The sequence below is a fragment of the Homo sapiens genome, chromosome 19 (assembly GCF_000001405.40).
Source record: "Homo sapiens chromosome 19, GRCh38.p14 Primary Assembly".
Classification (NCBI taxonomy): domain Eukaryota; kingdom Metazoa; phylum Chordata; class Mammalia; order Primates; family Hominidae; genus Homo; species Homo sapiens.
This window is the reverse complement of record NC_000019.10, coordinates 9,607,329-9,635,078: the sequence shown is the minus strand read 5'-3', so window position 1 is coordinate 9,635,078 and position 27,750 is coordinate 9,607,329. Positions and strand designations below refer to the sequence as shown.

Sequence of the window (27,750 nt, the reverse complement as noted above, 5' to 3'; positions counted from 1 at the left end):
GCAACCTCTGCTTCCTGGGTTTAAGCAATTCTTCTGCCTCAGCTTCCCAAGTAGCTGGGATTACAGGCACCCACAACCACGCCCGGCTAATTTTTTGTATATTTAGAAGAGACAGGATTTCACCATGTTGGCTAGGCTGGTCTCAAACTCCTGACCTCAAATAATCCAACCTCCTCAGACTCCCAAAGTGCTGGGATTACAGGCATGAGCTACCGTGCCTGGCAACAGTTTTTATTTTCACTTAACCATCTATCTTGGAAATCACTCCATGTTAGAAATAAGTTCTTGGTGCCACAGAGAGAGACCAGCACTCAAAAGAAAAATTTCTCAGCAAGGCAAGGTTTACTTCTGCAGAAGGTGGCTGCTTGCGCCTGTAGCAGTCTCAAGAGCACATTGGACAGGGAAAGGAAGGGGTTTTTAACCCTAATGCATCATAGCTTTTGCTTCTGTGTTTTTTCCTCATTGGCTGGTGGTTGAACCACACAATGTAAGCTGATCCCGATTGGCAGTTTCAAATAGAGTAGGGGTATGGATTACAGTGATAGTGAAGGGCAGTTTTGGTCGGCGGGAAAGACAGTTTCTGCGGGAAGGGCAGTTTACAGAACAAAGGTTACAGAACAAAGGACAACGAAGTTGGACCTTTGTAGAGCAACTCATTTTGTCTAATAATTTTCCCCTTTTGATTTTGTAGTCCTTCCTCTTCATATATTTCTAACAGGATCTGGCTTCACTGCTCTTCTTGGTTGCTTAGAAATAAACGTTTATCTGAATAGGGTGGGGGAGAGTTGTGGGAGGTCTTGGTAAGGGCTGTTTCTATGAGCTTTTGAACTAGTCCGCAGACACAGGGTATAATACAGCACCCTAAGAGAATGAGCACCCCTATTATGATCACAAGGGAGGTGAGAATAGAGGCCATTAGTCCTTTCCATCTACCAAACCATTTTTTCCATTACACCTGTAAAGGGATCATTCATTCCCGAATTTTCAGCTAGTTCATTTCCTAGAGTGGTGAGGCCTTATAGACCCTTAGTGATAGTTACATCAGGGGCTGTATTATTGGGGATACAGGTACAACATTGGACTTCCACTAATATCATGTCAAGAGCTATTCTATTTTCCCAGGCCATTTGGCTGGTGAAACCCAATTGTTCAGCTATTCCTTTAATGGCATCCCTGGTGTAACTGACAAATCGTTGTTGGTTATAGTATATGTAATTTATCCAGTCTACATTTTTATTTATAGTAGACCACAAGAAAAGGACAGACTTGAATCCAGCAGCTATTTGATTTCGAGCTTTGAATTCGTTTGGTACCCCTCAGGGGACCCCGATAGCATCTATGTAGATATCGGGGTCAAAGGACCCTTGAGGGGCTTTCCTTTTTTTCTGAGTTAGTTGGTTTTTGTTTGGCTGATGAAATGCCAGGGTGAAAGGGATAGACAACTGGATTAGAGCCCAAGTGCCACTCCAGTTGCTTGGCAGCATACCCACTAGAGGGCCTCCGCAATACTATCAAACATCTGCTCATGGATAGACAAGGGCAGTCTGATTGGTGAGCTCTTCAAAAGGCTTGGGTTCACTGCATCCTGTTAGATTCCCAAAGAATGCCAAGTTTTCTCCCTGTTGTGAGAGACATGAGGAAAAATTGGCATCAGACGCTGGGAGCTGGATGGCCCTTGGGGGCTGACACACAGGGCGGTCTTTCACTTCTGGGAAAAGCAGTAAGAGAGTGCCGCATGACTTATTACCCCAGGCTGTGGGATGCTGGAAAGAGCTACCATGCAGTCCATACCCGGTTGGTTAGACCATCCAAGCAGAAAAGGAACTATTTTTGTTTCTGGCCTACCTGTTGCACAAGCGTAACAGTCACTTTTGTTTAGAGTATGAACGGAATATTTAATCCATTCCAGCTAGGCATTTGCATCCTGATACCCGGTTTCAATGGCTAGGGTTTAAGTCTTTGACTTCCACTATGACCACTTTAGTTTTGTCATTAGGTAGTGGCAAAATAGTTGTTTGATTTGGAGGAGGGTTTGGAGAGGGGTTACCCCTAGGAGGTGGGGAAGGGTTGCTAAAGCGCATTTCAAAGGACCCTATGGGATCTGTCTCAGCCCACTTCGGTTCCTATGCCATAGAAAAGACCTAAAGTGGGCTCAAGATCGATGGAGGTAGGGGTAAGATAGAAATTTGCACTGGGTTGCATTGATGATGTTGGCAATTAGAGGGGGCATTTCCTTTGGTGAAACGAAGATATGGTTTTAAAGAGGCGCAGCTTCCTGGGGAGGTCCACCCTTGATGCTTAGTAGTCCATAGGACATTGTTCCAGGTGGAGCAGAACCTTTCCCAAAACGTAAGGGTTTCGGCTTCTACCAAGCAAGAGTTGCGTGAATGTAAGAGGTTAGAATCTACCCTGGAAGGACAGAGATATTTCTACAAGGAGGATAGCTGCTTCTGGTTTTGGAGGTCCCCAAAGTGTATGGCAAGACATGCGTCAAACGTGATTGTTTGAGGAGAGAGTGATCTGGTTACATTGATAATGAAGTGTCCTTGAGTAGTTAAGGGAAGAAGGGAAAGACAGATTAGACCCTTTTGAATACTAACTTGGAAGGCATTGGTCTTGGAGTGACAGCCCATGACTCTGTAAGGGTGGGGTCCTTTTTACCTGGAGTGCTGGGTCCATCCTTTTTCAGCCATTCAGATTGCTGTTTCATTCATCAAGAGTACCAGATGAGGTCCTCCTAAGCTGGTTCAAGCTTTCCCTCTTCCAACTCTTGATGAGAACGTGATCCCCAGGCTGGTATTGATGTACCGGGAACTCCAGGGGTGGTGTTTGTGCTAGGAAGCCTTTCATCCTGAGGGAAGAGAAAGTGGAAGACAGATCGAGTATATAATTTTTGAGGAACTGATCCTTTGTTTCAAATGAAACAAACTTTGTTTCAGTGAATGTCAGTAGTAGAGTGTAGATAAGGCAACCCATATAGGATTTCATAGGGAGATAGGCCAACATCTCTCTGAGGGGCAGTTCAGACACTTAATAAGGCAGTGAGAAGGCACTTAGTCCATAGTAACTGAGTTTCTAAAATTGATTTGGTTAGGTGGCTTTTTAGAGTCTGGTTCATCCTTTCTACTTTTCCTTATGAGGGTGGGTGCAAGGAGTATGATATTCCCATTTTATTCCTAGTACTTAGGCTAGTCCCTTAATGACATGTGCAGTGAAGTGGGTCCCATTGTCTGAATCAATGTTTTCTATCAGTCCAAACCTGGGTATAATATTTTCTACTAATGCCTTAATCACATTATTAGCAGTTGCACTTGAAAAGGGAATAGCCTCCACCCAGTGAGTAAGGTGGTCCACTATTACTAGCAAGTACTTTAGGTGGCCTATTGGGGGCATTTTGGTGTAGTCAATTTGGACACTTTGGAATGGTCTCAATCCTGGGCTTTTTCCCCCAAAAGGTGGTTTCCTTAGGGTTTTTTTAAATTAGTTTTCTTACATATTAGGCAACTATCTGTAACTTATTTTGCTAGGGTATAAACTCCTATACACCCATAAACTCTGAGAACTGCATCGCACACAGCTTGAGGTCCCCAATGAGTCCCTTGATGCAGTTGAGATAGGACTTCCCTCATTAGGGGTTTTGATAGCATTTCTCTTTGGTCTGGTAACATCCATTTCCCTTCTGAGTTTTCTTTAGCTCCTATTTTCCTTAATTTCTCTTTTTCAGTGGGAGAGAAGATGTGAATTGCAGTTGGGGAAGAAAGACAAGGGGTTAGGTGAAAAATGGGCATTTTGGGAGAAGAGGCAGCTTGTTTGGCTATTTGGTCTGCAAGTTTATTTCCTTGGCTTTTGAAAGAAATATTTCTCTGGTGTCCTGGGACACGCAGGATGGCTATCTCTTCTGGTAGCTGGAGATTTTCCAATACCTGAGTGATTAACTCCTTGTGGACAAGGTCCTGGCCTTTTATTCAGTCCAGATCTTTCCAAAAGTATGGACTACCCCGAAGGCATATTTGGAGTCAGTGTAAATAGTCCCTTTCCCAGTTATGGCTTGATTTAATGTGAACAATTCACATGTTTGGGTGGACCAGTTATTGGGCAGTCTTCCTGACTTTACCTCTGTGAGGGCTTCCCCATTGACTACCGAGTACCCATTGTGTCTTTTCTCTTCAAATACCTGGGAGGAGCCATCTATAAACAGGTGTTGCCCCGTTTTGAATGGGGTCTCGCTTAGATCAAGCCTGACTTTAGTTTGATAACAGATTAGATCCAGACATTTATGTTCAGGGTCCTGGGGATTGGATTTCCCATTAGGAAAGCGGCAGGGTTGAGTGTTTTTTCTGTGGTTAGGGTTAAATCATCTTTTTCTAGTAAGATAGCTTCATATTTTAAGATTCTTGAATCGGTAAGCCATCTGCCTGCTTTTTGGTTTAGGATGGTTCTAACCTGATGGGTTGTGTTTACAGTGAGGTTTCCCCCAAAGGTTATCTTCCTGCTTTCCTCTGTAAATAGGGCAGTTGCTGCAACAGATTAAATACACTCGGGCCACCTGTGGGTTAGTGGGTCAAGAATTTTTGACAGAAAGGCTATAGGCTGCCGGTGGCCCCCGTGTGTTTGGGTGAGCACCCCTAGAGCTATCCCTTTATTCACATTGACGAAGAGGTGGAATGGCTGTTCTAGGGAAGGTAGAACTAAGGCAGTTATGAGCAGGTGTTTTAATTCCTCTACTTGTTGGACCTCCCGTGGTGTCCAAAGAAGAGGATCAGGTCTCTCTTGAGTAAGTTTCAGGCATAGAGGCTTTGTTTTTAAAGCATAAAGTCAATCCATAAGCGACAATATCCAGTCAACCCCCAGAATTTCCTAAGCCCTTATTTTGTTTCAGGCAAAGGTACGGCTATGATTCCTTCAGTTCGTTTGGGGCCTAATCTCTGTTTGCCTTTGCTTATTAAGTATCCTAGGTATTTTATCTCAGGTTCCACAAACGAGTTTACTCCTTGAGACCAGCAATCCGCGTTCCCTCAGAAAATTTAGAAAGTTAATTGATACTGCTGTTACCCAGCCCTTGGTGCCTCCTGAAATTAGCAGGTCATCCACATATTGGAGCGGATATATGGATGAGGGGAGGGGAAAATTCTCTAGGACTTGTTCTAGAATTTGACCAAATAGATTTGGGGAGTCCACAAACTCTTGGGGCAGGACTGTCCATCAGTACTGTTGCTTCCAACTGGAGTGAGGGTCCTCCCATTTGAAAGCAAACATGTCCTGGCTGTCCTCTGCTAAGGGGCAAGCCCAAAAGGCATCTTTTAGGTCTATTACCATGAACCATTGGTGGTCATATGGGATTTTGCTGATAATGGTATAAGGGTTGGGGACCACAGGGTGAGTAGTCTGGACTATTTGGTTAATAGCCCAGATATCTTGCACTAGCCGTGATCCATGTGACTTTTTTACAGGCAACATTAGAGTGTTATAAGGAGGCATACAGGGTTCAAGGAGTCTGTCATGGATGAGACCTTTGATTATAGGTTTTAAACCCATTCTGCCTTCTAGGGGAATGGGGTGTTGTTTTCTTTTTACTATTTCCCCAGGAGGTTTTCGTTTTATATGAATTGGCGGAACTTGAATCTTCCTTGATTTCCCTCCTTTAACCACACATCAGGGTGGATTTGGCTTTCTTTAGGGGCGGTAAGCAAGTTTAAGGAAGTAAATAATTTTCCCTGATTAACATATAGACCTATCCCCAATTTAAACATTAAGTCCCTTCCTAACGAATTTGTCCCTGCATCAGGGATTAACATGAATTTAATGGCGGCTGATCTATTCTTGAATTTAACTTCTGTTTCCTCCAAAATTTTTGTTCTAAACCTTTCCCCCTTTACCACCGTGACGAACAGCTCCTCTGCAGAGCAGGCTACATTTGATGAAAGGTAGCAAACAGAGGAGCGAGCTACTCCTGAATCTATTAGGAAAGTGAAAATTTCTAGCTTGGGTCCCACCTGTAGATTTATCAAGGGCTATTGGTGGGATTTGAGATAAAAGAGACAGAGCCTCTGAACCCCCTATTCTTCTTCAAAAGTCATGAGTGGGAGGATTTCTCTCTCTTTCTCATTCGGGACATTCTGTCTTAAAGTGTCCCAGTTTCCCACATCTGAAACATTTATTTTCCCCCTTTTCCCTTCTTGCCGTTAGGTCCCCAGGTTTTATCCCTTTTCTTTCCTGTATGTGACTTTGCAGCTAGTGGCTTAGAACATTTATGGGACCTATTTCCTTGTGTCCCTTGTTGAAGGGTGGGCAGTGGAATTTTTGCTTTTTGTTTCTGCTTTCCTTGTCTTTTCTCATATATACCTTTTGGGCCTCCTTTAGAAGTTCTTCTATGGAGCTATCTTTCCAATTCTCTATTTTTTTGACAATTTTTTTGTAATTTCTGGCCAAATGTTGGTGACAAAGTGGAGTTTTAACAATCCTTGCCGAAGTGGATCTTCTTATTTCTAAGCCTGCGTATTTTCTAACTTGCTCTTAGAGTCTGTTTAAAAATTCCATGAGCTCTTCTTCCTTTCTTTGTTGTATGTTGAATGCTCGGGAAATATTTTGAGTTCAGGGTACTGGTTCCCGAATTCCTTTAATTATCATTTCCCCGAGATCCCTCATATTTTCTTGGTGAGCTGCATTGTGATTGTCCCATTGAGGGTCTTGGAACAGAAATTTTTGGTCCGCTGCAGAACGTTTTGGCCAGGAGGATGTTCACGTTCCCTGACTATCACAGTGGCCCTGTGGATCACAGTCCTTTCCTCCCCTGAGAAAAGAATATCTAAAATGGACATTAGTTCAGCCCAAGTATACAACTGTGGCCCTAAAAATTGATCAATTTGATCTGCTACCCAATAAGGGTCATCTAACAATGGTTTGAGTTCCCTTTTGAAGTTTCTGACTTCTGAGCTGGTTAAGAGGGCATTAATGCAACCAATGCCCCCTCCCCCCAGTGGGACTTCCCTTAAGGGGACAACCGTTGGGGCGGATTCCTTTGACAAACAAGGGAAAGGGAAGTTTTGAATGTCCTTTCTACATTGTTCTATCTCATGTTGGAGGTTTCCTGGGGGAGGGACATGTTCAAGGAGGTGACTAGGAAGAGCATGGGTTGTTGATTCCCTGGGGACAGGATTATATGGGGGAGGAACTGAGATATAGACATACATAAGAATGGAGTTGGACCCTAACCTTATACCATATATAAAAATTTACTTAAAATGGATGAAGGATGGGCGTGGTGGCTCATACCTGTAATCCCAGCACTTTGGGAGGCCAAGGCAGGTGGATCACAAGGTCAGGAGTTCGAGACCAGCATAGCCAATATGGTGAAACCCCATCTCTACTAAAAATACAAAAATTAGCTGGCCATGGTGGCAGGCGCCTGTAATCCCAGCTACCCAGGAGGCTGAGGCAGGAGAATCACTTGAACCTGGGAGGCAGAGTTTGCAGTGAGCTGAGATTGTGCCACTGCACTCCAGCCTGGGTGACAGAGCAAGACTCCATCTTAATAATAATAATAATAATAATGTGGCATGATTTTTTAAAAATGGATCAAAAACCTTAGTGTAGTGTAAGAGCTAGAGCTGGAAAACTATTAGAAGAAAACATAGGTGAGAAAGCTTCAACTGGAAATGACTTCTCAGTTATGACATCAACCACACAGGCAACACAAGAAAAATTATGAGTTGAACCTAATCAATGATACAAATTTTGTGCATCAAAGCATAATAACAAGAGAGTAAAAAGACAATCTACAAATGGGAGAAAATATTTGCAAGTCCTGTATCTGACTGGGGACAAATATCCAGAGTTTATTTTTAAAATTTCTAGAACCCAAGAGTAACAACAACAAAACTCATTTCAATACAGAAAAAGGACTTGAATAATATCACCAAAGAAGATATACAGATGGCCAATAAACACACGAAAAGATGCTCATGAAACGATGCTCAACATCACTAAACATCATGAAAATGAAAATCAAAACCATGCTGGATGTGATGGCTCACACCTGTAATCCCAGCACTTCGGGAGGCTGAGGCCAGGGGATTCCTTGAGATTAGGACTTCAGGACCAGCCTGGGCATATGGTGAAATATGGTCTTTACAAAAAAATTTTTTTTAATTCAGCCAAGGATGGTGGTGGCATGCACCTGTAATCTCTGCTACCTGGGAGGTTGAGGTGGGAGGATTACCTGAGCCCAGTAAGTTGAGGACTGCAGTGATCCATGATCACGTCACTGCATTCGAGCCTAGACAATAGAGTGAGACCCTGTCTCAAAAAAAAGAAAAAAAAAGAACGATTAAACAGAATTACCATGTGATCCAGATATTCCACTTTGGCATATCCAAAACTGTTCAGAGCAGGGACTCAGAGATATTTGTACACCAATGTTTGTCTCACTAGTATTCACAATAGCCTACCCCTGCCAAACTGCAATTTTAACACACTGGATTGTTTGAAACATAGCCTGAACAAGCCTATTTTTAGCCATTTCGAGTGCGCCTGCTTTGTATTCTCTGAAATTATATCCAATATCTGACAGCCATAGATAAGATAACTCCAGGGCTATGAAAACCCCATACCCCTGCGGTCCTTCAGAGCTTTTTTTTTTTTTTTTTTCTGATGCAGGGTCTTGCTCTGCCACCCAGGCTGGAGTACAGGGGCACAATCTCAGCTCACTGCAGCCTCCATCTCCTGGGTTCAAGCGATTCTCCTGCCTCAGCCTCCCAAGTAGCTGGGATTATAGGCACCTGGCACCATACCTGCTAATTTTTGTATTTTTAGTAGAGACGGAGTTTCACCATATTGGCCAGACTTATCCTTCAGAGCTTTTTAACTGGAAGATATGCTGCCAGTCTGGTGAATATCATCATTTAGTTATTTATAAGCCCCCTCTTTGATTCCCCTTCTCCTCTGAGAGTCTTTCTTCCTTTCCACCCTTTCTGAGCAGCGACCCACAGGTAGAAGCCTGTGGATATTCTCTTGCTGTTTGCTACCTCCCCCACTGCTAACCTGTCAAAGCACATCCCAAATGAAGCTTGTGTGCTACTGCCGCCTTGTGGTAACATCTTTTTCCTTACTCAGCCAAGAAATCACTTAAACACCCTAAATACGTGTGTGGTTTTATTTTTTACACTTAGATCCCTAGTCCACTTGGAGTTTATTCTTGTATATGCTGTGAAGTATGGATTTAATTTCATCTTTTCTCAGATGGCTAACCAGCTATCTTAGACCTTCCATTTGTTACAAATGGCATTTTTTGCCCCATTTATCTGAAATGCCACTTTTTTTTTTTAGACGGTGTTTCTCTCTTGTTGCCCTGGCTGGAATGCAATGGCACGATCTCCACTCACCCCAACCTCCGCCTCCTGGGTTCAAGCGGTTCTCCTGCCTCAGCTTCCTGAGTACCTGGGATTATAAGCATGTGCCACCATGCCCAGCTAATTTTGTATTTTTAGCAGAGACGGGGTTTCTTCATGTTGGTCAGGATGGTCTCTAACTCGTGACCTCAGGTGATCCACCCGCCTCTGCCTCCAAAAGTGCTGGAATTATAGGCATCAGCCAATGCACCCGGCTTTTTTTTTTTTTTTTTTTTTTTTTTTTGAGACAGAGTCTCGCTGTGTCGCCAGGCTGGAGTGAAATGGCGTGATCTCGGCTCACTGCAACCTCTGCCTCCCAGGTTTGAGCAATTCTCTTGCCTCAGCCACCCGAGTAGCTGGGCTTACAGGCGCCCACCACAACGCTTGGCTAATTTTTTTTTTTTTTTTTTTAGACGGAGTCTCGCTCTATCGCCAGGCTGGAGTGCAGGGGAGCGATCTTGGCTCACTGCAACCTCCGCCTCCTGGGTTCAAGCGATTCTCCTACTTCGGCCTCCTGAGTAGCTGGGATTACAGGCACCCGCCACCATGCCAGCTAATTTTTCTATTTTTAGTAGAGACGGGGTTTCACCAAGTTGGCCAGGATGGTCTCGATCTCGTGACGTCGTGATCTGCCTGCCTCAGCCTCCCAAAGTGCTGGGATTACAGGCATGAGCCAGCATGCTCGGCCATGCTTGGCTAAATTTTTTTTCTTTTTTGAGACAGAGTCTCACTCTGTTGCCCAGGCTGGAGTGCAGTGGTGCGATCTCAGCTTACTGCAACCTCCGCCTTCTGGGTTCAAGCAATTCTCCTGCCTCAGCCTCCTGAGTAGCTGAGATTACAGGCATGCATCACCACACCCAGCTAATTTTTGTATTTTTAGTAGAGATGGGATTTCACCATGTTGGTCAGACTAGTCTCGAACTCCTGACCTCATGATCCGGCTGCCTCGGCTTCCCAAAGTTCTGGGATTACAGGCATGAGCCACCGAACCCGGCTATGTTTTTGTATTTTTAATAGAGATGGGGTTTCACCATGTTGGGCAGGCTGGTTTTGAACTCCTGACCTCAAGTGATCCTCCTGCCTCAGTCTCCCAAATTGCTAGGATACAGGCATGAGCCACCGCATCTGGCAAAATACATTTATGAACCAAATTTCTACATGTTCATGGGTCTATTTTTTGATATTTTATTAGTTTCTGTTTCACGTGCTAGTACCACATAGTTTTAATTATAGAGGCTTTATAGTATGTTTTTTAAATTAATTAATTAATTAATTTTTTAGACAGAGTCTCACTCTGTCAGCCAGGCTGCAATTCAGTGGCACAATCTCGGCTCACTGCAACCTTCATCTCCCAGGCTCAAGCAACTCTCCTGCCTCAGCCTCCCAAGTAGCTGGGATTACAAGCATGTGCCACCACGCTTGCTAATTTTTGTACTTCTAGTAGAGACAGGGTTTCACCATGTTAGCCAGGCTGGTATCAAACCCCCGACTTCAGGTAATTTGCCTGCCTCGGCCTCCCAAATTGCTGGGATTACAGGCGTGAGCCACTGTGCCCGGACTTTATTTTTATTTTAAAATAATGTAATTCTTTGCCTTGCATGAAAACTGTCAATAGTATGTTTTAATATCTGCTGCTCATCATTGCTTTTGTTTTTGTTTTCTTGGTTATTATCAGATGTTTGTTCCTCCACATAAACTTCAGTATCAATGTACTTAACTCCAGAAAAAAACTTTTGGTATTTTTATTGGGAGTATGTTACATTTCTGAATAATCTTGGGGAGAATGTCTGGTATCAGTGCTATTTTACAACGTAGGAAATGTGTTCCTGGCCCATGTGGTAAGATCAGAAAAATAACAACAGAAATACATATTTTTGGCTGGGGCAGTGGCTCATGCCTGTAATCCCAGCTCTTTGGGAGGACCAGGTGGATGGATCACGAGGTCAGGACTTTGAGACCAGCTGGGTCAATATGATGAAACCATGTCTGTATTAAAAATGCAAAAATTAGTTGGGCGCAGTGGCACATGCCTGTAGTCCCAACTACTCAGGAGGCTGAGGCAGAAGAATGGCTTGAACCCAGGAGGCAGAGTTTGCAGTGAGTGAAGATCGCACCACTGCACTCCAGTCTGGGTGGCAGAGCGAAACTATGTCTCAAAAAAACAAAACAAAACAAAACATTTTTTAATTTAAATTTTTTTTATATATATATAGAGAGATGGGGTTTTGCTGTGTAGCCCAGGCTTGTCTTAAACTCCTGGCCTTAAACGATCCTACCATCTTGGCCTGGCAGATATTTTAGGCCAGGAGTTCGAGATCAGCCTGGCCAACCTGGTGAAATCGTTCTCTACTAAAAATACAAAAATTAGCTGGGCGTGGTGGCAGGCGCCTGTAATCCCAGCTACTCCAGAGGCTGAGGCAGGAGAATTGCTTGAACCTGGGAGGTGGAGGTTGCGGTGAGCTGAGATCACACCACTGCACTCCAGCCTGGTCTGATCCAGTGAGATCTGTCGCAAGCAAGCAAGCAAGCAAGAAAGAAAAAGAAAACCCAATGGAATCAGCAGGTTCTAAAAAATAAAGAATGAAGAAAAAAAGGCCTACAGAAACTCTGACTGAATGGAAGGGATAGACCATGCCATTCATTGGCAGCTTTATCAATATGGAAGAATCATGGAAAGGCTCTAGGAACATGAGGAGAGGCATACAAACAAGCTTTATATTTATATCTAAAAAGTAAAGCAGAGGTTCCTCTTCAAAGACGTTCCTTCACATTTAATTAGGAATAAATAGTAACTTCTCTTAGAAGCAAAATTTATTCAAAGACCTGTGCTAACATTCTCAAGTATCTGTGAGCCGTGATAAAGAAATCAATGTACTTTATATTCTTAGCTCCCACAGTTTAGTCTACATATTTGCCCTGGCATGCTTGTACTGGTCCAGGCAAGCATTAGGGCATAGCCTGTTCTTTTTCCTTATTTGAAGATGTTTTGACCCTTCTCAGCATTCCACAAGTTACTTCCTCCTTCCTTTGTTCTCCTCTACCCTTGCCTCTTTTAAAAAGTTATAAGTTGCTAGCCAGAACGTGAGGTCCCATTCCAGCCAGTGGAAACTGGACACAGCAGTAGGTTGGAAGCATCAGGTTATAAATGACCCTATCTCCTTTGTTTGGTGTACTCTCGTGGCAAAACTGCTGGTGAGTATACCGTTTCTGCAGGAAGTAAAAATGGCCTTGCTGAGTAAATTAAATTTATGTTCAAGTGCTAATTTCTTTATGGCACCAGGGAACAAGCATTTTGAACATGTATATTTATATATTTTTTATATATTTATATATTTATATGTATTTATACATATATGTTTATATATATATATATAGAGAGAGAGAGAGAGAGAGAGACAGGGTCTTGCTACTTTGCCCAGGCTGGTCTCAAACTCTTGGACTTGTAGAAAATGAAATAAATACAGGTTCCTCTTCAAAGGGACTTTCCTCCCAGTCTGATTGAAATAAATAGTAATCCCTCTTAGAAGCCAAATTTTCTCAAAGACCTGTGGTAATATTGTTAAATTCTGCCAGCCGTAATAAAGAAATCAATAGACTCTGTTTTTAGCTCCCACATTTTAGCCTAGATATTTGCCCTGGCATGCCTGAACTGGTCCAAGCAACTATTAGGTCATGGCCTATTCCTTTCCCTATTTAGAAGTGTTTTTGCCTCTCTCAACAGTCCACAAGTTACTTCCTCTCTTCCTTTGTTCTCCTCTGCCATTGCCTCTTTTGGGAAGTTCTAAGTTGCTAGCCAATCCAGTGAAGTACAGGAAGGTGAGGTCCCGTTCCAGCCAATGGAAGCTGGACACAGCAGAAGGATGGACACTTCAAGTTTAAAAAAACCCTGTCTCCTTTGTTAATGTGTGCTCTGGTGGCAAGACTGCCAGCCAGTGGCACCCATTCTGCAGAAAGTAAAACTAGCCTTGCTGAGATCCTTTGTCTCAGTGTTGATTTTGTGACACCAAGCGAGCACCCATTCCCAGCAGACTCAAGCTATTTACCTACCTTAGCCTCCCAAAGTGCAGGAATTACAGGCGTGAGCCACTGCGCTCGCCCGATAAAAGCTTTGGAGGAGCATCCCCCGGGGATGCGTCCCATCCCTCATCCCCGCCCTTCCAGCCCGACCGGCCACCTGAACCACCGGCTAGGCCGGGTCCCTCCTCTAAATCACCCCCCGAGTACGAGCCCCTCCCCTCGCCCACAGTTCCGTCTGGAGGCCCGGTTCTAACCTCACCTTTTTCTCTGGACCTAGTTCTGCATCCCCCTCCCTGAGCCAACCCCAGGCCCTTTCTGCACCCACCCGAGAGGAAACTAGAATTTCTGTGTTCTACCCGGTCCTACGTGGCTGAAACTGGAGCCCACGAGCCTCGCCCGGCCAGAGTGTTGAAGCGGAAGTGACGTCAGCGCACCACCGCCATCTTTTCCGGCGCTGGCTCCTCTCCGTCAGTGCGGTTTCGCCTTTATGGTGGTGGAGTCTGCCCAGGCTGTGGTGAGTTCCACCTCCTTGGCGGTCCCGGGGATAGCAGGGGGCGGCAAAGGAATGATTGCGCGCTGTCGCCTAGGAGCCTCTCAGATCCGCTTCACTTCACTCGCTTCTCCAGGGACTATCAGTCCTCCCTGTGCGTCCAGTTCGGAGAGGCTGCGCGCTCTCTCGGCTCACTGCAACCTCTGCAACCTCTGCCTCCAGGGTCAAGCAGTTCTCCTGCCTCAGCCTTCCGAGTACCTGGGATTACAGGCAAGTGCCACCACGCCCGGCTACTTTTTCTATCTTTAGTAGAGATGGTTTTGCCATGTTGGCCAGGCTGGTCTTGAACTCCTGACCTTAGGTGATCTGTCTGCCTCGGTCCCCCAAAGTGCTGGGATTATAGGTGTGAGCCACTGCACCCGGCCGACTTTTGAAAATTTTAGATTTTGTTCTTAAGTCATCTTAGGTACGTAATGAAGTTATCAATAACACACGTGGCTGGTGACTACTGAATTGTTCTGTGCAGGTCTGCACTGTCTTCTGGTCATATGGCGGGGGGGTAACACCATATACAGGAGATCAGGCTCTAGGGACAAGTATCAGACCGACTACTAGGGTTGTTTGAGTGTAGGTTTTTTTCAGTATTAAATAGAAGTAATGGGCCAGGCATCGTGGCTTATGCTTATTATCCCAGCACTTTGGGAGGCCAAGTCAGGAGGATTGTTTGAGCCCAGGAGTTTGAGACTAGCCTAGGCAATCTGGTGAAAACTTGTCTCTACTAAAACTACAAAAAATTAGCCGGACCCAGTGGTGTGCACCTGTAGTCCCAGCTAGTTGGGGGGCTGAAGTGGGAGAATCACTTAAGGCCAGGAGTTCAAGACCAGCCTGGCCAATATGGCGAAACTGCGTCTCTACTAAAAATGCAAAAATTAGCCAGGCATGGTAGTGCATACCTGAAATCCCAGCTACTCGGGAGGCTGAGGCCTGATAATCGCTTGCACCTGGGAGGCAGAGGTTGCAATGAGTTGAGATCATGCCACTGCATTCCAGCCTGGGCAACAGAGTGAGACTCTGTCTCAAAATAATAATAATAATAATGAGTGATGATACGCACCTATGGTCCCAGCTATTCAGGAGGCTGAAGTGGGAGGATCACTTGAGCCCGGGAAGTCTAGGCTACAGAGAGTTGTGTTAGTGCCATTGGATTTCAACCTGGGCAACAGAGTGAGACCCTGTCTCGATAGATAGATAGATAGATAGATAGGATAGATATAGATAGATAGATATAGATAGATATATAGATAGATAGATATAGATAGATAAATATAGATAGATATAGATAGATAGAGGTAATGATAGCTACTGGGAAGGATGGCTATGATAATTAACTGAGCATGTATATATAAAGCTACTAGAGCTACTTCTGACATATCAGTCCTCAGTAAATGTCAGTTACTGTTATTAATACTTTTGTTACTGAGTGACGGTACTGAGTGGGCAATTTTTGGTGGCCTTCACATCTGTCACCTGCAGAGACAAAGCTCAGGCATAATGTTTGATGACTGATGTTTCATGCTTGTTGTTTGATGATTGATATGAACAGGACCGCAAATAACCCTGTACAAAGAGGAATGGAGATTGCCTCTATCCACCTAGATTCATAAGCTGGCCTGAGGTGATCTTGGCATCAAGGAAGGGATGCACATCATCACACCATCAGCTTCAGAGAATGGCAGCCATTTATTTGTCCCGTGGTAAGTCTTTGTTGATGCTCTTTTTCAGAGATTCTGCTTTAGGTCACCCTCCACAACACAAGCGTCCAGTGAGCTGAGCCTGAGCAGGCATGCAGCTGGTTCTTTTAGGAGGAATTGAAGTGAACCACAGAACAGAATGCTGTTTTATTATTTATTTATTTATTTATTTATTTTTGAGACAGAATCTTGTTCCGTCACCCAGGCTGGAGTGCAGTGGTGCAATCTTAGCTCACTGCAACCTTCACCTCCCAGGTTCAAGTGATTCTCTTGCCTCAGCCTCCCAAGTATCTGGGACCACAAGCACATACTGCCAGACCTGGCTAATTTTTGTTTGTTTGTTTGTTTTTGTTTTTGAGACAGAATCTCACTCTGTCTCCCAGGCTGGAGTGCAGTGCCTGTGGTCTCGACTCACTGCAACTTCTGTCTCCTGGGTTCAAGTAATTCTCTGCCTCAGCCTCCCATAATTTTTCTATTTTTAGTAGAGATGGGGTTTCATAATGTTGGCCAGGCTGGTCTCAAATTCCTGACCTCAAGTGATTTGCCCGCCTTGGCCTCCCAAAGTATTGGGATTACAGGCATGAGCCACTGTGCCCAGCCAGAATGCTGTTTTAGAATTCAGCCCTGGTTTGTGTACCTTAGGAAATGCTACATAAGCTTCATGAGTGTTACTACTATGGGCAGATAGAGAGTCACTTTTTTTTTTTTTGAGACGGAGTCTTGCTCTGTCACCCAGGCTAGAGTGCAGTGGCACGATCTCGGCTCACTGCAAGCTCCGCCTCCTGGGTTCACACCATTCTCCTGCCTCAGCCTCCTGAGTAGCTGGGACTATAGATGCCCACCACCACATCTGGCTAATTTTTTGTATTTTTAGTAGAGATGGGGTTTCACCGTGTTAGCTAGGATGGTCTCGTTCTCCTGACCTCATGATCCACCCGCCTCGGCCTCCCAAAGTGCTGGGATTACAGGCATGAGGCACCGCACCTGGACGAGAGTCACATTTTTCAGGGTGTAAGTTTCCTTGAAAAATGAAACTATTACCCTTTACCCAACAGGCAGTTTGGCCCAAGTCTGCTTTTGTGTCTAGCTGACACAGGACTTACTATGGCATTTCATGGAAGTGTTGTGTGTGTAGTTTTCTCGAGTGTGTAGGAGCATATCGGAATTTCAAGCTAGGATGGAATGACTTCTAGGCATGAGAATGTGGGAAGGATGGGCAGCTCTGGCTTCTCATGCCTTCTTACTTTTCCACTAGGGTTTTTTTCCAGGGAACCAATCTGCCCTTTTGAAGAAAAGACAAAGGTAGAAAGGATGGTGGAGGACTACCTGGCAAGTGGTTATCAGGTAAGCAGAAAACGTACTGTTGTTAAAAATGATATGCTTTCATCCAATAGGTAGACAGATTTCTTTCTAGACAGACTCATCTTCAGAGTTTTCTTAGAGCAAATGAAGCCTTACTCAAGGACTGAGTCCCCAGATGAATTTCCCCAGGGAATGAAGTCTCCTATACATAAAATGTTAACTTGAAAATCAGTCCAGTAGCTCAGTAATTACTACTTAAGCTTGACCTTCATGGTGCCAACTGCATCTTTCTTACATTGCTGGGTGCGGTGACGGATGATAAAGCAGATGAAAGTGTCCTTTTATCAAATCATTCACTTATCAGCATTTATCAGGTATCTGCAGTGTGCTGAGGAGTGTGCTGCATAGACACCAATGGGACAGGAAGAGCTCCTAGCCTGGTTGTGCTGAGATCAAGCGTAAGCAGTGTGCAGTGGCTCATGCCTGTAATTCCAGCTACTCAGGAGACAGAGGTGAGAGGACCACTTCAGCCCAGGAGATCGAAGCTGTAGTAATCAGCAGTTGTGCCTGGGTGACACAGTTGGACCCTGTTTTTATATATAAATAAATAAACAGATTAGATAGATGATAGATAGAGGAAAATTCATCTTTAGGAAGTACTGTTCTAATCAAAATAAAAATAAAATTTAAAATTTAAAAATACAAATATTAAAAAATTAAAAATAGATCAGCAAAAAAAGATTTAAAAAAATTTTAAAAAGTGCTGTTTAAGGCATATGCCTGTAGGAGGTCAACCTTGAGTGTTTAGACACAAGAGCTCCTGAGACATTAAACCCTGGAGTAGATCATGGGAGACCTGACAACCACGTGTAAGTGAGTATAAGGTTCCCCTTCATCATTCTCCAGTGAATATTGGTGGAAGTGTTCATTGGCTCAAACCAGCATGTGTATGATGACATAGGATTCAGTGACGTTTGATGATGTGGCTGTGGACTTCACCCCAGAGGAGTGGGCTTTACTGGACACAACTGAGAAATACCTCTACAGAGATGTGATGCTGGAGAACTACATGAACCTGGCCTCTGTGGGTAAGAGTAACATCACTATGCTTGGCATGGTGGCCTGCACCTGTAGTCCCAGATACTTGGGAGGCTGAGGTGGGAGAATCGCTGGAGCCTGGGAGTTTGATACTAGCATGGGCAACATTGTGATACCTTGTCTCTTAAAAAAAAAATTCTAGGCCGGGCGCAGTGGCTCATGCCTGTAATCCCAGCACTTTGGGAGGCTGAGGTGGACGGATCACAAGGTCCAGAGATGGAGACCATCCTGCCTAACACTGTGAAACCCCGTCTCTACTAAAAAAATTCAAAAAAATTAGGTGGGCATAGTGGCAGGTACCTGTAGTCCCAGCTATTCGGGAGGCTGAGGCAGGAGAATTGCATGAACCCGGGAGGCGGATCTTGCAGTGAGCCAAGATCACACCACTGCACTCCAGCCTGGGTGACAGATTGAGACTCCATCTCAAAAAAAAAAATCCTAAAAATGAAGACTAGGCCGGTTGTGGTGGCTTACATCTATAATCCCAGCACTTTGGGAGGCCGAGGCGGGCAGATCACATGCGGTCAGGAATTTGAGACCAGCCTGGCCAAAATAGTGAATCCCCATCTCTACTAAAAATACAAAAATTAGCCAGACTTGTTGGCAGGCACCTGTAATCCCAGCTACTTGGGAGGCTGAGACAGGAGAATTGCTTGAACAAGGAGGCAGAAGTTGCAGTGAGCTGAGATTGCGCCACTGCACTCCTGCCGGGGCGACACAGTGATACTTCGTCTAAAAAAAAATACATTAAAAATAAAAATAAACACTAGCATCATTTCTTGTAGCCTGTTATAGGGCAGATGTATGTTACATGCTTGCTTGTCAATTCTGAAAACAGTGGGGAATAACAGAGACAGTCCCAAAGTAACAGTCCCTGCTGTAGTATGTTTTAATTTACTGTGGTAATCCTGGAAACTTCATCAACAGCATCAGCTTTGTGCTGTAAGAAATATACATCTTCCTTCCCCTATTCTTTGATGTAGTAAATTGGAAACTCCAGGGTTGGAGCCCAGTCATCTGTGTTTTCAGAATCACTGAAGGTGAATCTAATATACTATCATGTTTGAGATCCAGTGGCAGAGTTGTTTACCCATGACAGCAAGCATCTTTTTGTAGTACTTAACTTTATTTCTGCTTTTTTTTTTTGAGACAGAGTCTCACTCCATCACCCAGGCTAGAGTGTAATGGTGCCACCTCAGCTCACTGCAACTTCAGCTTCCCAAGTTGCTGGTATTAGGCACACCTGCTACCATGCCCAGTTAAATTTTTTTTTTTTTTTTTTTGTATTTTTAGTAGAGATGGGGTTTCGCCATGTTGGCCAGCCCGGTCTTGAACTCCTGACCTCGGGTGATCCACCCACCTCGGCCTCCCAGAGTGCTGGGATTATGGTGTAAGCCACTGCACCCAGCCTACTTACTTTATTTATTTATTATTTTTGTGACAGGGTCTTGCTCTGTCGCCCAGGCTGGAGTGCGGTGGTGCAATCTCTGTTTACTACAACCTCTGCCCTCCCAGGTTCAGGTGATTCTCCTGCCTCAGCCTCCTGAGTAGCTGGGATTACAGCCAAGTGTCACTGTGCCTAGCTAATTTTTGTATTTTTAGTAGAGAAGGAGTTTCACTATGTTGGCCAGGCTGGTCTTAAACTCCTGACCTCAAATGATCCACCCACCTCGACCTCCCAAAGTGTTAGGATTACAGGCATGAGCCACCACACCCAGCCTACTTTATTTCTTACTGAAATAAAAGTTTTAGTGCTTTACAGGTGTGTACATAAGTCTGAATTTGGGTTTAATGGGTCAGAGATAACCAATCTTTTTTGGGCACAGAAATGGAGATCTTAGCTTTTATATCCCTTTTGTAATAATTACATTGCTTGTATTAGAAATATATCTCCTGGCCAGGTGTGGTGGCTCATGCCTGTAATCCCAGCACTTTGGGAGGCTGAGGTGGGTGGATTGTCTGAGGCCAGGAGTTTGAGACCAGTGTGTCCTACACTGTGAAACCCCATCTCTACTAAAAATACAAAAAATTAGCCAGACGTGGTGGCACACGCCTTTAGTCCCAGCTAGTCAAGAGGCTGAGGCAGGAGAATCACTTCAACACAGAAGGCAGAGGTTGCATTGAGCCAACATTGTGCCACTGCGCTCCAGTGTGGGTGACAGAGTGACACTTCATCTCAAAAAAAAAAAAAAAAGATTTTTAAAGATGCACTTTGCCTCAGAAGATTTAAGCTATTTTTCTCAGAGTTTTGGATATCTTTGACTCTTATTTTCCATCTTGTCAAACATTCCTATGATCTAATAAAACTACCTGTTCTGTTTCTTTGTTAACTTTATCATTCTGATACATGCTGTTTATCTAGATCTTTCCTACTTTCCTTTCCCGAAAATCTACTCTTTCTGTTTTCCATCAGCTTTAATTTTCTTTTCTTTTCTGAAGTCTTGCTCTGTCACCCAGGCTGGAGTGCAATGGCATGATCTCAGCTCACTGCAACTTCTGCCTCCCAGGTTCAAGCAATACTGCCTCAGCCTCACAAGTAGCTGGGATTATAGGCATGCGCCACCATGCCTGGCTAATTTTGTATTTTTAGTAGAGATGGGGTTTCTCCATGTTGGTCAGGCTGGTCTCGAACTCCTGACCTCAAGTGATCCACCCGCCTCAGCCTCCCAAAGTGCTGGGATTACAGGTGTGAGCCACCACTCCCGGCATTTTTAATTTTTACAGAAGTAGTTTGTAATAAACTATCTAAACACATCAGTTATGTAATAAACCCCACATCATTATAGCCAAATTTTTGATGTACCAAAATCCTCAAGGTTCTCTGGCTTTTATTTTATTGCTGTGTTTAATTTGAAAACAAGTAAAAATGACTCATTTTAAATGAATATTTCTTCTCTAAATCCTTACGTTTCTTTTTCTGCTTAACTTTAGAATGGGAAATACAACCTAGAACCAAACGGTCATCACTTCAGCAGGGTTTTTTGAAGAATCAAATATTCAGTGGGATACAAATGGTAAGATTCATGAGGGATATTTCTTAATTTCCTCTCTTAGAAAAGATAGAGAATTCCATTCTAGAAAATCAGCTCAGTCAGAGGTGTGGCTTACATCTGTAATCCCAGCTATTTGGGAGGCTGAAGTGGGGGTCTCATTTGAGCCCAAGAGTTCAAGACCAGCCTAGGCAGTATAGTAAGATCCCATCTCTGATTTTAAAAAGAAGGTGAATGTGGTGACTCACACCTGTAATCCCAACATTTTGGGAGGCCGAGATGGGTGGATCACTTGAGGTCAGGAGTTTGAGACCAGGCTGGCCGACATGGTGAAACTCCATCTCTACTAAGAATACAAAATTAGCCGAGTGTGGTGGTGGGCACCTGTCATACCAGTTACTTGGGAGGCTGAGACAGGAGAATGGCATGAACACAGAGGCAGAGGTTGCAATGAGCTGAGATTGCACCACTGCATTCCAGCCTGGTTGACCGAGTGAGACTCTGTCTCAGAAATAAAGAAAAGAAACTGAGTCTGTAATCCCATCCCTTTGGGAGGCCTAGGCACGTGGATCACTTGAGATTAGCACTTCGAGACCAGCCTGGCCAATGTAATGAAACTCTTATCTCTACTAAAAATACAAAGTTAGCCAGGTGTGGTGGCAGGCACCTGTAATCCCAGATACATGGGAGGCTGAGGCAGAATTGCTTAAACCCAGGAGGTGGAGTTTGCAGTGAAAAAGAAACTGCACAAATGAGAGATACTTGAGAGAATTAGAGAAGAATTCTGCACCACTGAGGGAGCAGGATCTCTGGAGAGATAGTCTGAATGTGATGAATTTTATGATATTCCATATCTGTATAACTTGTCACCTCAAAATACCCACAAGTACACATTCCCACATAAGTAACTAGACATTGAGGATTTACACAGTTTCATGAAAATCTACACTATTTGACTGGGTGCAATGGCTGACACCTGTAATCCCAGCACTTTGGGAAGCTGAGGCAGGAGAATCACTTGAGCCTAGGAGTTCAAGACCAGCCTGGTCAACAGAGACCCTGTCTCTACAAGGAATAAAAAATTAGCAGGGCGTGTTGGCATGCACCTGTAATCCAAGCTCCTTGGGGGACTGAGGCAGGATGATGGCTTCAGCCTGGGAGATTAAGGCCACAGTGAGCTGTGATTATGCCATGGTACCCAGCCTGGGTGACAGAGTGAGACCTTGTCTCAAACCACCCTGCATAATAATAAAAAAACCCTACAGTTTTCTTTTTTTGAACAATTAGAGCCAGTGGCGTAGAATTCTGGCAAAAGGGCCCATCATTCAATCTGGAAGAAATCAAGAAGTCAGGGAATAAAAACAAGGAAGAAAAATTGTAAAAATTATAATTATCAAAGTAGGCTGACATGGTAGCTCATGGCTGTAATCCCAGCACTTTGGGAGGCTGAGGCAGTGGGGTTTTGTGAAGAGTTTGAGATCAGCCTAGGCTACATAGTAAGACTTTGTCTCTATAAAAATAAATTGAGGCTGGGTGTGGTGGCTCACGCCTGTAATCCCAGCAATTTGGGAGGTTGAGGCAGGCAGATCATGAGGTCAGCAGTTCAAGACCAGCCTGGCGAACATGGGGAAACCCCATCTCTACAAAAAATAACAAAATTAGCTGGATGTGGCTACACCTGCCTGTAATCCCAGCTATTCGCGAGGCTGATGCATGAGAATCACTTGAGCCTAGGAGGTGGAGGTTGCAGTGAGCCAAGATCTCGCCACTTGCACTCCAGCCAAAGTGAGACTACATCTCAAAAATAAATAAACTGAGGTGGGGCATGGTGGCTCACCCCTGTAATCTCAGCACTTTGGGAGGCCAAGGCAGGCAGATCATCTGAGGTCAGGGGTTCAAAACCAGCCTGGCCAACATGGTGAAACCCTGTCTCTACTAAAACTACAAAAATTAGCCAGGCATGGTGACCCATGCCTGTAATCCCAGCTACTCAGGAGGCTGAGGCAGGAGAATCACTTGAACCTGGGAGGCAGAGTTTGCAACGAGCCGAAATCATGCCATTGCACTCCAGCCTGGGCTACAGAGCAAGACTCTGTCTCTAAATAAATAAATAAACAAACAAACTGAAAGATTGGCCAGACATGAGGGTGCATTCAAATAGTTCTAGCTACACAGGAAGCTAAGGCAGGATGATCACTTGAACTCAGCCAGGAGTTTGAGGTTACAGAGAGCCATGATCACACCAGTGCACTATAGTCCAGGCAATGGAGCAAAACCCCAACTCTGAAAAAAGTGAAACATACTGGGTGTGGTGGGTCATGCCTGTAATATCACCACTTTGGGAGGCCGAGGCAGGCAGATCACCTGAGCTTAGGAGTTTGAGACCAGCCTGGGTAACTTGGCAAAACCTTGTTTCTACAAAACAGAAAAATTAGCCAGGTGCAGTGGTGCACACCTGTATTCCTAGCTACTCGGGAGGCTGAGGCAGGAGAATCAGTTGAGCCTGGGAGGTGGAGGTTGCCGTTAGCTGAGAGTGTGCCATGCACTCCAGACAGGGAGATAGAACAAGACTTTCTCTCAAAAAGAAAAAAAAATTAAATATTAAAAAGTAAAATCATAATTGTCATCAAAATGCTTCTGTGTTCAGATGGGTGAAATCTCTTAATATGTCTGAAAATGTTTTAAAACCTTTATCTCGTCATCAACAGACAAGAGGCTACAGTGGATGGAAACTCTGTGACTGTAAGAATTGTGGAGAGGTCTTCAGGGAACAGTTTTGCCTTAAGACACACATGAGAGTTCAGAATGGAGGGAATACTTCTGAGGGTAATTGTTATGGAAAAGACACCCTCAGTGTGCACAAGGAAGCCTCTACTGGACAGGAACTTTCCAAATTTAATCCATGTGGAAAAGTCTTTACTCTAACTCCAGGTCTTGCTGTACATCTTGAAGTTCTCAATGCAAGACAACCCTACAAATGTAAGGAATGTGGAAAAGGCTTTAAGTATTTTGCAAGCCTTGATAATCATATGGGAATCCACACTGATGAGAAACTCTGTGAATTTCAGGAATATGGGAGAGCTGTCACAGCTTCTTCACACCTAAAGCAGTGTGTAGCAGTTCATACAGGAAAGAAATCCAAAAAGACTAAGAAATGTGGGAAATCCTTCACTAATTTTTCTCAACTTTATGCACCTGTGAAAACTCATAAAGGAGAGAAGTCCTTTGAATGTAAAGAATGTGGAAGATCCTTTAGAAATTCCTCATGCCTTAATGATCACATTCAAATTCACACTGGAATAAAACCACACAAGTGTACTTACTGTGGGAAAGCCTTCACTAGATCAACTCAACTTACTGAACATGTAAGAACTCACACTGGAATAAAACCCTATGAATGTAAGGAATGTGGCCAAGCCTTTGCTCAGTACTCGGGCCTTTCTATACACATACGAAGTCACAGTGGAAAGAAACCCTATCAGTGTAAGGAATGTGGGAAAGCCTTCACTACATCCACAAGTCTTATTCAGCATACAAGAATTCACACAGGAGAGAAGCCTTATGAATGTGTTGAATGTGGGAAGACCTTCATTACTTCTTCCCGTCGTAGTAAACATTTGAAAACTCATAGTGGAGAAAAGCCCTTTGTATGCAAGATATGTGGGAAAGCATTTCTATATTCCTCACGCCTTAATGTTCACCTGCGAACTCATACCGGAGAGAAACCCTTCGTATGTAAAGAATGTGGGAAAGCATTTGCTGTTTCCTCACGCCTAAGTAGACATGAAAGAATTCACACTGGGGAGAAACCCTATGAATGCAAGGATATGAGTGTTACCATTTAGCCCATCGGTTGCCATCTTTAATTATTGGCAATGACACCAAAGATTATCAGATTTGTCCTAAATGCCTTTTGGAGGTTGTAATGACTCATGGATTGGCCTTAGATACCATCCTGAGGGTCTGAAATTAAACCTACAGGTTCTGAATACAACATCATGGTTGCCTGAGTCTGGGCATCTGTGAAGAAGGGTCATGGATGGTGAGGTCAGTACTGCAGGCTGCCTCACCTTGGTGATTAGATTCCTAAGATCATAGCATTAACAAGTTGTGTATGAGATAAATCATGCAGATTGACCCCAGCCCCTGTTGGTTAGTGGCTGCCAGTGTGGCACATTTATGTCAAAATTTACCAGAAGCCAAGATGATGTAGGACCCCAAAGGTGGGTTGTTAAGAGATGCTCCTCCAAGGGTCTCTTCTGATCCCACGGATCCTGCAGAGCGTGTCAGGAATGAAACCATCCATAACTGCCAGTGCCCTTTCACAGCTGATTATTTCTGTGTCCCCTTGTAAAATCTAAGAAGTGTGACAGCCTTGCCTGTTCTGCCTTGTATGTCTATTTTAGATGGCACAATGTAAGTGGCAATGTCTCTTCTAGTATAATCCAGTCTCTCTTCTCACTTCTGTCAAGGTGGCTGATATAGTCCATGAATCCCACTCATGATCTCTTTATCAGATGATCGTTCAGCCACACTTTGAGGATTCTCTTCAGTACAAGTTTTCTAATTTTTGCATTATGGATAGGCTGAGAATTTTCCAAATCTCCAAGTTCTGGTTCCTTTTTCCTTAACAATTTTTTCTGCAATTCAGGTCTCCTTTTGCATTTTTGCTGAGACCAGCTGGGTCATGGAGACCCTGACCCAGCAGCTCTAGAGGAATTAAGACAAAGACACAGAAATAGAGTGCAGAGTGGGAATCGGGGCTCACAGCCTTCAGAGCTGAGAGCCTTGAACAGAGTTTGACCCACATATTTATTGACAGTAAGCCTGTGATAAACATTATTTCTATAGATTATAGATTAGCTAAAAGTATTCCTTACAAGAAAGAAAGGGACAGGCTCTGGCTTGTTATCTGCAACAGGAACATGTCCTTAAGGCACAAATCACTCATGGTATTGTTTGTGGTTTAGGAATGCCTGAGCAGTTTTCCAGTTTTCCACCGTGGGTGGGCCAGGTGTTCCTTGCCCTCATTCGGGTAAACCAGCAACCTCCAGCATGGGTGTCATAGCCATCACGAGCATGTCACAGTGCCGCAGAGATTTTGTTTATGGGCAGTTTCTCATGGCCTGTTTATGTCCAAATTTGGGGGGCCTGTTCTGAGCACATTTTCCTGTAAGCACTCAGGAAGAATGAAGCTTCCTGTGTCCTTTAACACTTTAAGTACAGATCTTAGTGATACATAACCAGTTTTATCTCTCTCAAGCTCTACCTTCCGCAAAGTGCTAGAATACAGTTCTGCCAAGTTCTTCACTACTTCGTATCAAGGGTTGTATTTTCTTTATTTCCCAATAGCATGTTCCTCATTCCCCAATGACACCTCACCAGGATCACCCTTACCAACCTTACTTCCAGCTTGCACATCAGAATTTTTCCAGCCTCATTTGTCAGTTTCAAATCTGCTTCACATTTTTAGTTTTTTTGTTTGTTTGTTTTTAATCTGCCTTAATGAGCTCAGGCCACTATCACAAAATACCACAGACCAAATGGCTTACAAATTTGTTAATTTTAAATAAATGAGGTTAAAAACAAATTTATATTCTCACATTTCTCGAGGCTGGAAGTCTGAGATCAGAGTGCCAGCATGGTCAACTTCTGGCGAGAGCTCTCTTCCTGGTATGTAAATGCCCACTTCCTCATGTCTTCACAGGAAGGAAACCAACAAATAGGTCTCTCTCTCCTCTCTCCTTTCTCCTCTCTCCTCTCTCCTCTTTCTCTCTCTCTCCCCACCATCTCTCTCCTTCCCCTCCCTCCCCCTCCCTCCCCCTACCCATCTCTTGACATCATTTCACGATACTTCTAAAGAGCCTATTTTCAGGCCGGGCGCGGTGGCTCACACCTGTAATCCCAGCACTTTGGGAGGCCGAGGTGGGCGGATCACGAGGTCAGGAGATCGAGACTGTCCTAGTTAACACGGTGAAACCCTGTCTCTACTACAAATACAAAAAATTAGCCTGGCGTGGTGGCGGGTACCTGCAGTCCCAGCTACTCGGGAGGCTGAGGCAGGAGAATGGCATGAACCTGGGAGGCACAGGTTGCAGTGAGCCGAGATCGCAGCCACTGCATTCCAGCCTGGACAACAGAGCGAGACTCTGTCTCAAAAACAAAACTAAAAAACCCTATTTTCACATACAGTCACATTGGGATTTGGAGCTTCAACATATGAATTTTCAGGGTTATCATTCAGTCCAAAGTACTTAATATGATTCTTTTCCGTTTCCACATAGACAATCACATAATCTGTAAATAATGACTCTTACTTTTCCACTTTAGTCGTTAGGTTATACCTATATATATATTTTCTTGCTTTACTGGACTAATTTCAACCTCCAGCACACCACCAATGAATAGCAGTAATACCAGCATAATTGTCTGCAGTTCTGCTGAGATACGTGCTCTATTTTATTGGCTTGGCTGTAGGTTTTTATTTTATTTTTTGAAGAGGCTAATCTCTTACAGGAAAGGTTTCTTTTTATATCCAGTTTTTACATGATGAATGATTTCCCAGTATTTCATAATTCATGAGGCTGAATTCCTCTTGAATTTATTAAATGCTTCCTGTGCATCCTCTGTGATGATCATGTTTATTTACTGCTAGAACTCAAGTACCTAGAACTGTTCCTGGCCAATGATGGTATGTAATAAATACTTCAATGAAA

The 27,750-nt window shown here is 44.0% G+C and overlaps 1 protein-coding gene and 1 long non-coding RNA gene across 13 annotated transcripts, besides 2 other annotated features; one reads left to right on the top strand and one right to left on the bottom strand.

Annotated features, from left to right (window-relative positions):
* Positions 1-216: 216 nt before the first annotated feature.
* Positions 217-13,597, bottom strand: ZNF561-AS1 (ZNF561 antisense RNA 1). The gene is made up of 4 exons (NR_122038.1): positions 13,434-13,597; positions 8,219-8,295; positions 2,662-2,851; positions 217-1,619 (listed from the first exon to the last, which is right to left on the bottom strand). It is a non-coding gene; the product is annotated as a ZNF561 antisense RNA 1 (long non-coding RNA).
* Positions 13,518-13,937: an enhancer, noted in NCBI's record as "active region_13932". NCBI's record gives its function as "activates an Ori minimal core promoter by ATAC-STARR-seq in GM12878 lymphoblastoid cells {active_cell/tissue: GM12878}" and the evidence as "EXISTENCE:reporter gene assay evidence [ECO:0000049][PMID:35858748]".
* ZNF561 (zinc finger protein 561) lies at positions 13,847-27,750 on the top strand. Of its 12 annotated transcripts, none has more exons than XM_011528434.3 (7): positions 13,847-13,917; positions 14,030-14,163; positions 15,497-15,647; positions 16,913-16,988; positions 17,908-18,034; positions 20,976-21,058; positions 23,743-27,750. In XM_011528434.3, exons 3-7 carry the CDS (start codon positions 15,592-15,594, stop codon positions 24,877-24,879), a joined length of 1,479 nt encoding a protein of 492 aa, XP_011526736.1. In that variant the 5' UTR covers positions 13,847-13,917; positions 14,030-14,163; positions 15,497-15,591; the 3' UTR covers positions 24,880-27,750. The 12 variants fall into 12 exon arrangements, with proteins under 12 accessions (XP_011526736.1, XP_005260207.1, XP_006723001.1 ...); XM_005260150.3 differs by having other exon boundaries at positions 16,900-16,988; XM_006722938.4 differs by lacking the exon at positions 14,030-14,163.
* Positions 14,086-14,668: an enhancer, noted in NCBI's record as "H3K27ac-H3K4me1 hESC enhancer chr19:9731087-9731669 (GRCh37/hg19 assembly coordinates)". NCBI's record gives its function as "activates a minimal SCP1, AML or CMV promoter by ChIP-STARR-seq in naive H9 embryonic stem cells {active_cell/tissue: H9 hESC(naive)}" and the evidence as "EXISTENCE:reporter gene assay evidence [ECO:0000049][PMID:30033119]".

Coding starts and splice junctions, on each gene's coding strand:
- ZNF561 (XM_006722938.4), top strand. CDS start 15,592: ATGCACATCATCACACCATCAGCTTCAGAGAATGGCAGCCATTTATTT. Junction 18,035..20,975: donor CATGAACCTGGCCTCTGTGG/GTAAGAGTAACA, acceptor GCTTAACTTTAG/AATGGGAAATACAACCTAGA. Junction 21,059..23,742: donor TATTCAGTGGGATACAAATG/GTAAGATTCATG, acceptor CGTCATCAACAG/ACAAGAGGCTACAGTGGATG.